The sequence below is a fragment of the Homo sapiens genome, chromosome 2 (assembly GCF_000001405.40).
Source record: "Homo sapiens chromosome 2, GRCh38.p14 Primary Assembly".
NCBI lineage: Eukaryota > Metazoa > Chordata > Mammalia > Primates > Hominidae > Homo > Homo sapiens.
In genome coordinates, this window is record NC_000002.12 from 231,453,055 (window position 1) to 231,467,131 (window position 14,077).

The 14,077-nt window shown below is 46.0% G+C and overlaps 1 protein-coding gene and 3 non-coding genes across 4 annotated transcripts, besides 8 other annotated features; all 4 read right to left on the bottom strand.

The window, feature by feature from the left end:
• Positions 1 to 476: 476 nt before the first annotated feature.
• NCL (nucleolin) lies at positions 477 to 11,430 on the bottom strand. Its single transcript, NM_005381.3, has 14 exons — positions 11,282 to 11,430; positions 10,146 to 10,262; positions 8,486 to 8,963; positions 7,615 to 7,812; positions 7,424 to 7,510; positions 7,098 to 7,239; positions 5,947 to 6,071; positions 5,212 to 5,335; positions 4,589 to 4,746; positions 3,947 to 4,070; positions 3,577 to 3,710; positions 2,956 to 3,082; positions 2,347 to 2,570; positions 477 to 2,213 (listed from the first exon to the last, which is right to left on the bottom strand). The coding sequence occupies exons 1-14, from the start codon at positions 11,297 to 11,299 to the stop codon at positions 2,137 to 2,139; spliced, it is 2,133 nt and encodes a 710-aa protein (NP_005372.2). The 5' UTR covers positions 11,300 to 11,430; the 3' UTR covers positions 477 to 2,136.
• Positions 2,064 to 2,358: a silencer, noted in NCBI's record as "tiled region #11632; K562 Repressive non-DNase unmatched - State 17:Gen3'". NCBI's record gives its function as "represses a minimal TATA promoter and a strong SV40 promoter by Sharpr-MPRA in K562 cells {active_cell/tissue: K562}" and the evidence as "EXISTENCE:reporter gene assay evidence [ECO:0000049][PMID:27701403]".
• Positions 2,746 to 2,882, bottom strand: SNORA75 (small nucleolar RNA, H/ACA box 75). Its single transcript, NR_002921.1, has one exon. It is a non-coding gene; the product is annotated as a small nucleolar RNA, H/ACA box 75 (small nucleolar RNA).
• Positions 3,390 to 3,469, bottom strand: SNORD20 (small nucleolar RNA, C/D box 20). Its single transcript, NR_002908.1, has one exon. It is a non-coding gene; the product is annotated as a small nucleolar RNA, C/D box 20 (small nucleolar RNA).
• SNORD82 (small nucleolar RNA, C/D box 82) lies at positions 7,314 to 7,388 on the bottom strand. Its single transcript, NR_004398.1, is given in 1 exon segment — positions 7,314 to 7,388. It is a non-coding gene; the product is annotated as a small nucleolar RNA, C/D box 82 (small nucleolar RNA).
• Positions 10,498 to 11,169: an enhancer, noted in NCBI's record as "NANOG-H3K27ac-H3K4me1 hESC enhancer chr2:232328263-232328934 (GRCh37/hg19 assembly coordinates)". NCBI's record gives its function as "activates a minimal SCP1, AML or CMV promoter by ChIP-STARR-seq in primed H9 embryonic stem cells {active_cell/tissue: H9 hESC(primed)}" and the evidence as "EXISTENCE:reporter gene assay evidence [ECO:0000049][PMID:30033119]".
• Positions 10,689 to 11,058: a silencer, noted in NCBI's record as "fragment chr2:232328454-232328823 (GRCh37/hg19 assembly coordinates)". NCBI's record gives its function as "represses an EF-1alpha promoter that drives an FKBP-Casp9 reporter gene in an ReSE screen in HepG2 liver carcinoma cells {active_cell/tissue: HepG2}" and the evidence as "EXISTENCE:reporter gene assay evidence [ECO:0000049][PMID:32094911]".
• Positions 11,075 to 11,124: an enhancer, noted in NCBI's record as "active region_17285". NCBI's record gives its function as "activates an Ori minimal core promoter by ATAC-STARR-seq in GM12878 lymphoblastoid cells {active_cell/tissue: GM12878}" and the evidence as "EXISTENCE:reporter gene assay evidence [ECO:0000049][PMID:35858748]".
• Positions 11,170 to 11,839: an enhancer, noted in NCBI's record as "NANOG-H3K27ac-H3K4me1 hESC enhancer chr2:232328935-232329604 (GRCh37/hg19 assembly coordinates)". NCBI's record gives its function as "activates a minimal SCP1, AML or CMV promoter by ChIP-STARR-seq in primed H9 embryonic stem cells {active_cell/tissue: H9 hESC(primed)}" and the evidence as "EXISTENCE:reporter gene assay evidence [ECO:0000049][PMID:30033119]".
• Positions 11,185 to 11,374: an enhancer, noted in NCBI's record as "active region_17286". NCBI's record gives its function as "activates an Ori minimal core promoter by ATAC-STARR-seq in GM12878 lymphoblastoid cells {active_cell/tissue: GM12878}" and the evidence as "EXISTENCE:reporter gene assay evidence [ECO:0000049][PMID:35858748]".
• Positions 11,405 to 11,754: a silencer, noted in NCBI's record as "silent region_12427". NCBI's record gives its function as "represses an Ori minimal core promoter by ATAC-STARR-seq in GM12878 lymphoblastoid cells {active_cell/tissue: GM12878}" and the evidence as "EXISTENCE:reporter gene assay evidence [ECO:0000049][PMID:35858748]".
• Positions 11,885 to 11,984: an enhancer, noted in NCBI's record as "active region_17287". NCBI's record gives its function as "activates an Ori minimal core promoter by ATAC-STARR-seq in GM12878 lymphoblastoid cells {active_cell/tissue: GM12878}" and the evidence as "EXISTENCE:reporter gene assay evidence [ECO:0000049][PMID:35858748]".

Sequence of the window (14,077 nt, forward strand, 5' to 3'; positions counted from 1 at the left end):
TATAGACTATCGCTTACTTTAACCCACAGGCCTCCCAAAGAAACCAGCTGCAGCACATTCTCACCTGGATGAAGGCTGCAGGGAACCGAGGAGAGCCCTGGAGGCATCATTTCATAGATTCCAGAAGACCTAGACACCAAGTCACAAGGTTTTTCAAGCTGTTTGTCACCCAGGCTGGAGTGCAGTGTCGGGCTCAAGCAATCCTCCCACCTCAGCTTCCTGAGAACTGCAGGCTTATGCCATCACGGCCACCTAATTTTTCTTGTAGAGATGGGAGTCTCACTGTTGTCTAGGCTGGTCTCAAGCCATCTCCACACCCAGGCTTCCCAAGGTGTTGGGATTACAGGTATGACCCACGGTGCCCGGCCTCACGGGATCTTTCTTGAAAGCCACTGGAGATAAATTCATACTTATGTTCATACTATGTGTTTTGCTGCAATTTAAGAGCTAACAGACCTAATCCACAACACGCCTGATGGGCTTCAATTAACTGAGCTTTTAATTCCTTATCCAGAATACAGGCTGCAAGGCCTTCCTTTTTGTCCTTAGGCTTGCCTCATAGGAGACCCTCCCACTGCTTTTTCATCGTAGTTACAACCCTGGCTGGCCACCTTCCTCTCTAGAGCATGAGGGTCTTGGAACTGGATTGTCACCACCCCCATCCCCTGGACATGGAACAGGGCTGACAAGCAGTAGGTGATAAGCCCAAGGATGTTAAGATTTCAACAGCCCAACTGAACCAGAGTAAACCCAAAGCAGCTACGTATTCTTCACGTTTCCTTCTAAGCTTATCCAAGTATCACAGTTTGATTTCACTAGTTGGACTAGAACAGGTTTTTGGACTTGGCTACCTACATTGATTTTGGGCACTGGGTTTCAAGTAAATTCATCACAATGTTGATAGTCCCGCCTCTCACGTGGCCTTGTCTTTTACTAAAAAGGGAGGTTGAGAGGCAAGTACTTAAGACCAGAAAGAATAAGCAATATACGTAGTGCAGAACAAATGGCTTTTTGGGGGTTTACTGGATGGGCAGTTTCCTCCCCAGCCCCAAGGTTCCAAAGTGTCCACTGGTCTATCCATCTAGCGTGAGTTCTATTCCAGAACTGCTTTTTGGGAGATGGGAGTCTCGCTTTGTTACCCAGCCTGGAGTATAGTAGTGTGTGCTCAGCTCACTCTGCTTCCCGGGTTCACGTGACTCTCCCGCTTCAGCCTCCTGAGTAGCTGGGACTACAGGAGTACACCACCATGCCCAGCTAATTTTTGTATTTTTAGTAGAGATGGGCTTTCACCATGTTGGCCAGGCTGGTCTTCAACTCCTGACCTCAGTTGATCTGCCTGCCTCGGCCTCCCCAAGTGTTGGGATTACAGGAGTTAGCCACTGCTCTTCCCTGAAGCTCTTCCTTGTCCTAGGAAACCTGACTAATCTGTTCCTGCACCTCTTTCCAGAGTGGTCTTCAGGACATAATCCTCAGACCTGCTAAAAGTAGGAGAAGCTGCAGCAGCCTTCAAGTCAGCACCAGGGCTGCAGGAGCAGGTCCCCTCACCAGCATTTCAACCAAGTTAGTTAGGGCTGGGATACTGGAAACACGCACTAAGCCATTTCCATTGGGATGGGTGAAGCAAGTGGCAGAGCTGGCTTTGCCATGCTCTCCAGTGACATTCCAGGGGAAACACTCTTTAGGAAGTAACACGTCTGGCACCAGAGTTGACTTTTAATTTGTCCTAAAGCCGCTGAAGCAAAAACCATGATAAAACATTCTGCTTTCTTTTCTTTTACAACCCCACGAACGCAAAAAAAAAAAAAACAAAAACAAAACAAAAAAAAGAAACAACAACAAAACCCAAACTATTTGTAGGAAAAAATGGTTTTGTACATGGGATGAAACAATATAAATTCAAAACTTACAGATAAGGGTTAGCTCTATCACTCAACTCTTTAAAAAGTTTATATGAATATCCAGTCAAAACCAACACGGTATTGCCCTTGAAATGTTAACTAGACGGATTTCCAAGGAGACCACAGGACTGTATACTGTCTTGGAATGTCCTCAGAAGGCTCTGTCATTGATCAGGTAACAGTAAAAACCCCAGAGTCCTTTCTTTCAAATGGAAAAGGGAAAGCAGAGGGACAGAAGCTATTCAAACTTCGTCTTCTTTCCTTGTGGCTTGTGGTCACCTCCTCCTCCTCTGCCTCCTCGGAAGCCTCCTCGCCCTACAGGAGGAAGGCAAGACACTGTTAAAAGAATGGGTACAAAGCTCCTCCTCCCCAGTGATTAGGAACCGTGACAGGGCACAGGGTCTGAAGAGCACATGCTATGTGGTGTCATTATCTCTGCGTGCCTTACCTCCAAAGCCTCCCCGGCCTCTGCCACCAAATCCTCCTCGGCCTCCTCTACCACCACCTCGTCCTCCAAAGCCGCCTCTGCCTCCACCACGACCCCCGAAGCCACCTTCACCCTTAGGTTTGGCCCAGTCCAAGGTAACTTTATTTCCATCAATTTCACCGTCTTCCATGGCCTCCTTGGCAGCTTTGGCATCCTCCTCACTGTTGAAGTCTACAAAACCAAACCTAGAACACCAAATGAAATTGCCCATTATAAAAAGCACCTACTACACATGTCCCAAGTTAACTGTACATGCTGGGGAGCCATCCCACAGAAAGTAGCCTTGTTTATTTGGGAAAAGATACCAGTGACAGAGTAGCTCTCTATGGAAAACTAACTGGTGTGACAGCTTGAACCCCAGAATGTCTCACAATACAGCTAAATATACCTCTGTAAAGACAGAAGGTAAAATAATGCTAGTTCTGTGAATTCTCTCTTCTTCTCGTGCGAATCCATAAACTGCCACTGATAGACAGAAAGGAGCTCAATGAGAAGACACATTAGACTCAAGGTCTGCACAGAACAAAAACCCCTTCAAGTGGAAGCAGCACTCACGCTTCCTTCCCTTACCCTTTGGAGGACCCAGTTTCCCGGTCAGTAACTATCCTTGCCCGAACGGAGCCGTCAAATGACTCCTTTAATGTCTCTTCAGTGGTATCCTCAGACAGGCCTTTGACAAACAGAGTTTTGGATGGCTCTGGGAAGGAAAAAAAAATGTGACTTTATGTGAAGTCACAGTTCGTAACACTGAATTTGCACAATGCCTAGTATGACTACTAGCCAAGAATACTTGTTATAGTGAAAAAGCAGTTAAAAGCAACTAAGCCAACTAGTCCTTAATTAAAGTAAAGGCTATTCTGGGTTTACATTTTTTAATTGCCATTGCATAGTTGATATCCTGCCCCAGATCTTCTATGGAAAGTGGGAGAAGCAACCCAAGCAGGTGGGGCCCAGTGGATGGGGCAGGAAATCATGGGCAAACTTGCTACTCTGAGTTGACACAGCTGGATCAGAACTTGACTATCTAGAGGAATTTTCTTGAGATTTCATCAATTATTTCTCAGGTAATCAGTCATCATATCCAGTTATTGTTCACTCAGTAGCAACAGGAAACACAGAATTTGTGCAAAAAATAAACAAAGCACCGAGAGTGCTACCCCCAACCACAGCACCCTAACCAGGTGAACTTACGGCTTCTGGCATTAGGTGATCCCCTGGGTCCTTGCAACTCCAGCCTGATTGCTCTGCCCTCAATTTCCCTTTTATTACAGGAATTTAAAGCTTCTTTAGCGTCTTCGAATGAAGCAAACTCTATAAATGCATACCTGAGGATGAACAGTTAATGCTTAGAGTAAGTTACCAGGCACATGCTCCTTCACTGTCACATGATGCTGCCAAGCCCCTTCTCTCAAGTTGGTACCTAAATGATGATCTTTATTTTACACTCATTTACGTAGCTAAAATTATTTGGCTTTTCTGACAGGATCACATGACCTTACGTTCCTTTAGACCTCTAAGACATATATAGCCTATAACTGATGATACAAAGGTATTATCTTACCCTTTAGATTTGCCATTTTGGTTCTGGGGTACTTTGATAAAAGTTGCTTTCTCAAATACTTCCTGAAGAGTTTCTTCTGTTGCACTGTAGGAGAGGTTGCTTAAAACCAGAGTTTTTGATTCACCTGCAAATAGAGATGCCACATTCCTAAGACTCTGAAACAGTGGTTCCCAGCTTCGGTCACAACAGTAATATCTTATTCCTAAGAATTTCAGTGCTTGAGTTAATATACAAATACTCATGACGTAAGCTAAATCCATTTCTGTTACTCAACATATTAAGTACCTAGTACGTGTTGCAATGTCCTGCTGGTTGTTCTTACATAGGCTGATGACTGGTCTGTTTTCCTAGAATCATCTGAGTTCAAAACGCACATGGTCAAGTCATTTAAAGTATAAAACATGCCTACAAAGGAAGCTTGATTTGCCTACTGTATTCCAATGCAAAATGATTTTAGAGCTCTCATTCAAGATTGGAAATTACTATTCCAAATAAGAGTATGACTTGGGGTATCATGTCCTTGATCTTCACCTACATTTGAGTAACTTTGATTAAAAAGTATTTATAAACTTATGAAATACAAAGACACAAAGGAGTTCCCTCCACCAATTCTGAAACCTTGTAACAAGCCTAATTTCTTACCACTCCAAGTGCTATTCTTTCCACCTCTATAGTCTTGATTTTGACCTTTCTCTCCAGTATAGTACAGGGAAATAGATCGCCCATCGATCTCTGTTCCCTGCTTTTCTTCAAAGGTTTTCTCTGCATCAGCTTCTGTCTTAAATTCAATATAAGCAATCCTGCAATGGAGGGAGAAGAACTCATGGTTTTTAAAACCATATTAACACAAATGCTTTTACCTCAGCAACACAGAACTTGCTTCAGATCTGAGTACAATAAATGCCCTTAGTTTTATGCCACTTTTCAATCAAAACTCGAGCTTCCCTCTTACTTCCCACTAGTTTTACAAATACTTGGAATTTTTTCATAGTAACCTCACCTCACTGAAAGAACTGCTACTACTTACAAAGTATTTATTGTAAGATAGGCACATTTCTTGCTTCTTTGTAAGTATTAGCTTGTCTTTTAAAATCACCCTATGAGTACATTATCCCCATGGTACAGATGGGTTACTGAGGCACAAACTTACAGGTTAAACTGTCCAAGATTACACGCCTAAGGAAATCAAACCAATATTTCTTTTATAAAGCAGGAAAGTGCATTAATGTTAATAAAACCCTTACATTTCAATAGACAGAACATACCCTTTACTTTTCCCATCCTTGCTGACTAATCTGATCTCCGCAGCATCTTCAAACACTTCTTTCAATTCATCCTGAGTGACTTTGTAAGGGAGATTTTTAGCCAAAAGTGTTCTCGCATCTCGCTCTAGATTAAAAAAACAAAAATGAGCTCTGTGGCCTGAAAAACCAAAGGTGGGGGGCAACAACAAAAAGAGGGGAAAAACACACATAGCTCTATTCAACAAATAATTTGAGATCCTATAATGTACAAGGCTCGGTGCTAAATATGGAGATATAGCAGTGTCAACACACAAGTGGTCCCTCCATGTTGTCACAGCTGATGTCAAACTCTCTGTTAGGTACACTGGAGTTCAACCTAGAGTAGACGCGCATAACAAAAAAAGTGAATGTACCAATTCAAAACATTACAACTGTATATAGGGAGTAATTAGGGACCTAATCTAGTTTCAGTGAAGAAAGATCCCTTTACGTTAATTTAGGTGCATCTAATAATTCTTGTTCTGTATAAAAGTGCTCTTGCTTGCCTAACTCAGGAATTTACACTATAACACTGACAAGCAGTGCCAAGTACTCTTGTAAACACTGTAGCTCATTTAATTCCCACATTAAGAGGAAACCAAAGGAAAAAAATGATTTAAAAAAATAAGAGGAAACCAAGGGAAATGGGTTACAAAGCATTTTCCCTAGCAGTCTAGCTCCTGAGTTCATTGCATAATCTCATAAAGCCTTACATACCTTTCTTACTGTCTTTTCCTTTTGGTTTCTCTAGTTTAATTTCATTGCCAAAGACTTTCAAACCAGTGAGTTCCAACGCTTTCTCCAGGTCTTCAGCAGATTCAAAATCCACATAACCAAATTTCCTTCAAGGTGGAGAGGAGGGCAAAATTACAACAGGTGAAAACACAAATCAAAATCCACAATATGTATTCTAGACAAATGTGATGGTGCAAACAAAGATCACATTTTAAAAAGCACCCCTAGTATTAGCAAAACAAAGTCAAGGCTCTGCAAACTGCAGCTACAGAACAAGGTCTCAGCATGAAGATATGACATGCACATTCACGTTTGAGGTCTTCATCATGGAGCTAAATTGCTTATAAGAATTCACAGTAGCAGCTGACAAAAGAACACCTATAAGCACTAATACAGGAGAATCCTGTCTGGATAAAAGTATTCACTATGATGACTAGACAGGTCTAATAGTTTCAGGTACTTCCAAGAAAATAAACATTATTTTAAATTGAGACGGTGTCTCAATCTGTTGCCCAGGCTGGAGTACAGTGGCGCGAACTTGGCTCACTGCAACCTCTGCCTCCCAGGTTCAAGCGATTCTCCCACCTAACACCAAATTATTAAAACTTACTGGCAGGGTGGCTCACGCCTGTAATCCCAGCACTTCGAGAGGCCGAGGTGGGTGGATCACTTGAGGTCAGGAGTTCAAAACCAGCCTGACCAACATGGTGAAATGCCATCTCAACTAAAAATACAAAAATTAGCCAGGCATGGTGAAGTGCACCCGTAATCCCAGCTACTTGGGAGGCTTAGGCAGGAGAATCGCTTGAACCCGGGAGGCAGAGGTTGCAGTGAGCCAAGATTGCGCCACTGTACTCCAGCCTGAGCAAAAGCCAGCGTCCGTCTCAATACATAACAAAAACAACAAAAAAACTTACTAAAAATTATTCTGTGCTATACCAAGTTACGACTGATTATGGAAATTGCAACTTAGGGGATCTACAGTTTAATTCTAACTTAGTTCACTAATGCTAATCCTTGAAGATGTTTACAGTATTCATGTTTAACAGTAGCAGGCTAAAGTAACTGTGCTAACAGGGGAAGGAAAAGCATTAACAGACCCACGTGTATGTAACGTGCAGTGAAGCACTTACCTAGTCATACCAATTCTGACATCCACAACAGCAAGATCATTTTTAGCAAAAACATCGCTGATACCAGTTTTTAATTCAGGAGCAGATTTGTTAAAGTTTAGGTTTCCAACAAAGAGATTGAAAGCCGTAGTCGGTTCTGTGCCTGCACAAAAAAAGCTCAACTCAGTCTACTTGTAGTGTGGTAAAAAGTTAGTTTCCAAAGCAAAATTTCTATACACAGCACATCAGCACACTACAATGTAACATCAGGTTTCAGTATTAAGTCCCTTTGTTATTCATCATTTGTGCTGTTTATCTCCCCCATATCCCCTAATTCTGCAAGTTACCTTCCACTTTCTGTTTCTTGGCTTCAGGAGCTGCTTTCTGTTTGGCCATTTCCTTCTTTCGTTTTCCAGGTGCTTCTTTGACAGGCTCTGGACAAGATGTCAAACAATGTATCACACATCAGTAGCCACAAACACTTAAGTGCCTCCTTTAAACATAACTCATGTCGTATGTCAGAATCTAATTTAAGTACCTTCCTCCTCCTCTTCTTCCTCCTCCTCATCATCTTCATCATCATCATCTTCATCATCTTCGTCGTCGTCGTCATCCTCGTCCTCATCATCCTCTTCTTCATCTTCATCCTCAGCCACGTTCTTGGCTTTCACAGGAACAACTTTTGCAGCTTTCTTTCCTTTGGCTGGTGTAGTCTCCATAGCTTCTTCTTCAGAGTCTGAAAGAGAAGTCACCTAAAAATTGCAGCAATCTCCCAAAACCAACATCGGTTTTCAAATCTAATGTAAAGAAAATGCAATCCTGTCACCATGTTTAGTTAACAGTCATGGCAAGAATAGATCACTTGGGGCCGGGCGCAGTGGCTCACGCCTGTAATCCTAGCACTTTGGGAGACCAAGGTGGGTGGATCACCTGAGGTCAAAAGTTCGAGACCAGCCTGGCCAACATGGTGAAATGTCGTCTCTACTAAAAATACAAAAATTAGTAGGGTGTGGTGGTGGGCACCTGTAATCCCAGCTACTCGGGAGGCTGAGGCAGAACTGCTTGAACCCAGGAGATGGAGGCTGCAGTGAGCCGAGATAGCGCGCCATTGCACTCCAGCCTGGGAAACAGCAAAAGCTCCATCTCAAAAAAATTTAAAAAAAAAAAAAATCACTTAGAAACAAAATCCTACATTATAAAAAACACTAATAGAATGTGCTATTGAAATTTTCTCAAGAGGCACAAAAATCATTCATGGGTAATTAAGTCTAGCACACCACAACAACCCAGAGAATTCCCACAAGGATTCTAATCTCATCTCCAGGTTGTCGTGGAAGGAATATGTTGATCCCAGAATCTCAAGATACCTTGTAATCAGAAGCCCAGTAACTACCAAGACAACTCCTTACCATCTTCCTCATCGTCATCGTCATCCTCATCATCTTCGTCATCCTCATCGTCCTCATCCTCTGAGGCAGGGGCAGCAGCTGCTGCTTTCATCGCTGCTGGTTCAATTTCATCTTCATCCTCATCCTCGTCCTCGTCATCCTCCTCATCCTCCTCACTGTCATCATCCTCCTCTTCATCACTGTCTTCCTTCTTGGCATTCTTGCCATTCTTTGCCCCCTTGGCTGGGATGGCAGCACCCTTCTTACCAGGAGTTGCTACCAATGCTTTGCCTGGTGTGGCTCCCTTCTTGCCAGGTGTGGTAACTGCTTTGGCTGGTGTAACTGTCTTCTTGGCAGGTGTTGCTGCTGCCTTTTTGCCTGGAGTGACAGCTGCTTTCTTGGCTGGTGTGGCAACTGCAACCTTTTTTGTTGGGGAAACGACCACCTTCTTTGCTGAGGTTGCAGCAGCCTTCTTGCCTTTCTTCTGAGGTATGACGACCTTGAGAATAAATGAAAACCAAACCAGTAAGTCCAGCCCCACACCCAAAAAGATAACCATGGTCCCAATGAGATGTTAGACTCTGGCAATGCCTCTGGTTCAAGACCACATGCACTAGACACATTAGCATGTTAAACTCCAGGCTTCTGTTATGTTGTCTTAAGTCAGAGCCCCTATCATAAGGTGAATACCCAGACATAAGGAACTCTTTTGAACACTTAAAAATACCTCTGAACCAGACCCTCTGAATTCTTACACCTCATACTTTCCCAAGCCCCAACTTTCTCATCTGAAAATGGTAATAGTATCATCCTTACATGTTTAAGGATCATGAATTGCTATGTGTAAATTATTCAGAACCTTACACATAGGAGGCTCCAAGCATTAACTTATTAAATCATTTGGGGCTCCTACAGTGGGTGGCGGTACCAAGCCCAGTGAAGCTCAATTCTTAGGACCTGAGACAAAAAATGAATAGGCTAAATATAAATATTCCTTACAAAACTATCACACATCAAAGAGTGTGCATGGTAGTTTGATAAAAGTCATCATTTAGCTACATTAAAATCCCGTAGTTTTATCAGGCAATGTGTGGAAGAGTAAAACTTTCATTCAGTTCTCAACGAGAAACCTGAGCACAATTCAGTGCTCAGCTGTCTTTATAGTGAGCAAATAAAAGGCCAGGAGTGCTAAAGAGGGTCAATGGTAACACAAAGAGAGGTGGCAGCCCTCAGTCTACACCAGAGATAACTATAAAACACAGTGAGTAGTATTACAAAGTTTATATATAATGGAATGGAGACCAATTAATTTTAATTGGAGGCTAGGAAAGGAATCTGGTAAGGTTATCCTCAGCTCTGAATACAATGCCCAGCTCTACATGTGGGGGTGAGGCTAACATGTTGAAACTGGAAAAATGTAATGATTTAACACAACAAATCACACTCCAAGCCCTGCAGAGGAACATGTAAAAGAAATTCCCAGATCTCGTCTTACACTCACATTCAAATACTTAGCCAAATGACATCTTGACATGTCAATGAAGAGCTTGTGAAACACTCAACCACTACAATAAGACATACCTGAATAAAATCTTATTTTTGCCACAGATATCCAATTTCATGTCTTAACTCTCCATTTTGTAGTTTTAACATAATTCTGCATTAAGTTGGATAAAATTACCTCTTCTCCACTGCTATCATCTTCTTCATCTTCTGACATTTCCTCATCTTCACTATCTTCTTCTACCTCCTTTGGAGGAGGAGCCATTTTCTTGGGGTCACCTTGATTTTTACCTGCCTAAAATGGACACAAATAGATCATTACACCTCCACCTCGACATTTCAGGCCATTCATATTTTGCCATTAGTGTTCATACGCCATCATCTCCGTCCTCAGATCCATTTCTCATAGTGCCAAACACCACAACTAACATAGAAACTACTCCTGATGGCAATGCAAGAGGGACTACTCTCAACCGCCCACATTTTTCCTCCCAGGCTTTACCAACAGAAAACCTGCCCTAAGGTAAAAAGTCAACCTGAGGAAATGATTTCTCCTCCCGTTACCTTAGTTAAGCACAACCGTGTTTTAATACTACAAATCCCGGTACTTTATTCTACCACCCTCATCTGAATCCAAATTAACGGTGAAGATCATTAAGGCACTTAAAAAAATGACTACCTTGATTTTCTCATGAAGCTTATGCCTTTCCCAGCGAGACAACCCCGCCCCTTAAAGAGGCGGCGCGGCCACGTGGGGGTACCTGGTAGGCCACCACGTGCCCGAAACACAGCGCAAAAGGCACGCGGCAGAGCCACCTTCCGGGGCCCACCACGTGTCGGCTTGCCAGGCCGGGGCGGAGACATCCGAGCGCAGCCGGGACTCCGACTAGGGCCGATACCGCCATTTCCCGGCCCAAGGCACCCGGTCCCTCTGGAGATTCCAGGACCCACGCGGCGCGGCCCACGTGGCAGGCCGCGCTCCCGGGCACGTGCGTCAGGAGTCGAGTCCCAGCTCGTACGCGTCGCAAAAGTTTGGTCTCATCTCTCCACCCCGAGGCCCAGCGCCCCCTCCCCGCGCTCAGTGACTCTGTCTTTCCCGCCGCGTTCGCCGCCCCCAGCACCTGCAGAAGCTCTTCACCTCGCCACCAAGTAGCCAGAAGCCGCGAGACCTCCCCACTAATCGCGCGAGACTTCCCGCAGCATGGCGCCCTAGAACGCGCCCGGGACTGCGCGCAGGCCCTCCTCCCCGCGGCGCCGCGCTCGCCCCTCGGAAAGCAGGCCTACACGTCTGCGCTCGCGCTCAAGGCCGTTTACCTTCGCGAGCTTCACCATGATGGCGGCGGAGTGTGAAGCGGACAAGTGGCGCAGATGAGTCCAGAAGAAGCCAAGCGACGGCGATGGCGGCCGCGGGTGCTGAAGATCCCGGAGCACGTACACCCGAAGGCCAGCGAGAGCTCGAGACTGAGGCGAAAGACTGAGCCTGCCCAGTAATCGCCTGTGGAAAGGCGACGACGGCGCCCTCGTGACTCCGCGCCGACCAACCAAAGCTCGCGGCCGTCCCCATGAGCCAATCGCGAGCCTCTAACCGTGAACGGCGCGGGGCGGGGAGTAGGCGGGCCGAGGCGGCCACGGGAGGGGGAGGGGCTGGCAACGGCGCCGTGGGGGCGGGGCTCGCTTTGTGCAAGGTCCGCGCTGATTGGGCCGTGGGCGCGCGGGTCCCGGCCTGCGTCGTGGGACTGGCGTTTTTGGCGCCGGCTGTGAGGGGAGCGCGGGGGTGGTGGAATCGGGCGGTCTCCGGTTCGCCAATGTGGCTGGGTCCGTAGGCTTGGGCAGCCTTGGAGTTCCTCAGAGACCCCGCGCTCGGTCCCGGCACGCACTCACGCCGCGGCTCCTGGTGGCCCTGGAGCGAGGAGTCCGCCAGCACCGGAAGTTCAGGGACCGCGGAGTTCCCGTTGGCCCTTTTGGAGGCACAGCTTATCCCTGCTTGCCCGCGAGCATGGGGCCGGAGGCACCCCCCGGCTGCAGGCAGTCTCCTGAGAGCTGTTAATAAAGGCAGTCGCGGGTCTGTGCGAGGTTTTCTGTGAGAAATGCACGAACCTCCCCTACCCCACAGAACCTCAAGCGGGAGATATTTCTCGACATGGGGAACGGCCTCGGAGAAGTAACTTTCTGGCCTCACAGGGCAGGGAGAGGGGCCTGGGAGGGCCGACCGCAGAGCCGGGCCTTTGACCGCCCACAGGTTCCCTGGTTATTATTTGGGTCGAATGCGCCAATTAAGGTGGTGGCTGCGAAGTCAGTGTCACCAGATGGCCCGGGAGCAGGTCGAGAGCCACCGGCAGGGTTCCCCGGCGGCAGGGCGAAGGAGGCCGCCAGTGACTTCCACGGTTAGCTTTGTGGGTGGGTCTCACTCGATGCCGGGCTTAGCAAACCAGAGCATTTCCCTCCGTCCAGGGCCTGCCGGGGATCCATCCCATCCATAGGTCCAGCTATGGATCCATCCATACCTCATTGTTCCTACAGAACCAGGATATCTGCAGCTACGGCTGTACTTGTTAAAAATCACCTCAGGCCGGGCGCGGTGGCTCAGATCCGCAATCCCAGCATTTTGGGAGGCCGAGGCGCATGAACCGGGGAGGCGGAGGTTGCAGTGAGCCGAGATCGCCCACTGCACTCCAGCCTGGGCGACAGAGCGAGACTCCGTCTCAGAAAGAAAAGCATTTGTTAAGGCCGGGTGCGATGGCTCATGCCTGTAATCCCAGTACTTTGGGAGGCTGATGCAGGAGGATCGCTTGAGTCCAGGAACTTGAGACCGGCCTGGGTAATATAATGCGACCCTGTCTCCACACAAAAAATAATTAGCGGGCATGGTGGCGCTCGCCTGGAGTCCCAGCTACTCGGGAGGCTGAGGTGAGAGGATCGCTTGAGCCCAGGAGGCGGAGGTTGCAGTGAGCCGAGATCGCGTCATTGAACTCCAGCCTGAGGAACAAGAGCGAAACCCCATCTCAAAAAAAAAAAAAAGAAAGAAAATAAAATTATTTGTTAAATGAATGAAGTATTTAGGTAGAAGCAGCAGCAGGGAGAGCCGGCATGGCTCAAGTGGCGTTGCTTTGGAGTTGGTCTGGGGCAGCAAAATAGCAATATCTAACACTTCATAATGCTGATTCAGTGCCAGGCGCTCTTCCAGCTCTTTACATATTAATTAACTTACTCTTCAAAATAACCTTTCCAAAAAGTTACCACTGTTTTACAGAAACTGGGACATAGAGGTAAATTAACTTGTCCAGGGTCGCATAGCTAGCAGTGGAGGCGTAGGATATAAGTGAAGACACTGCTGTGTCATCCCAGTTTCTTTTTTTTGAGACAGAATCTCACTCTGTCACCCAGGCTGGAGTGCAGTGGCAGGATCATGGCTCACTGCAGCCTTGACATCCCCAGCTATATCAATCCTCCCTCCTCAGCCTCCCAAAGGTGAGCCACCACGTCTGGCCTGTTTGTTTCTAAATGCTTTTTTGTTTTCTTTTGAAAACATGAGTATTTATTGAATTGTAAAGTATACACATAGTGCAAAATTCAAAAGATTCAAACAGATGCACAATAAAAGGTCTCCCTCCCGTTCCTGTCCCCTAGGCCTCCCAGTCTCAAGGCAGTGGCAGTCTCTTGTATATCCTTCCAGATTCAGCCGTACGTGCAAATAGACAAGTATATTTGTTATATTTAATACAAACGCTATCATATACACTGTTCTGAGCTCTTCTTTTGTGTTAACTATATGTATCTTGTAACTCATCCTACATCAGCACATGTAGAGCTGCCTCATTCTTTTTAATAGCTACATGGCATTCCTTGTGTGGAAGGATCACAATTTATCTAGTCACCATTGCTGGATAGTTAGGGTTTTTTGCTATGTTTGGCCATTACAAACTGCTATAGCAAATATTCTCACTTACGTTATTTTACACAAATCATATCTGTAGAACAGCTGGGTCAAGGGTATGGACTTTCACATTTTCATAGATGTTCTCCCAAGTGCTGTCTTTGGTTGGGGTTTTCCATGGCCGTTCCAGCCAAGAGCGACCCCACCTGCTCCAGCTGGCTCAGATTATCTGCTGC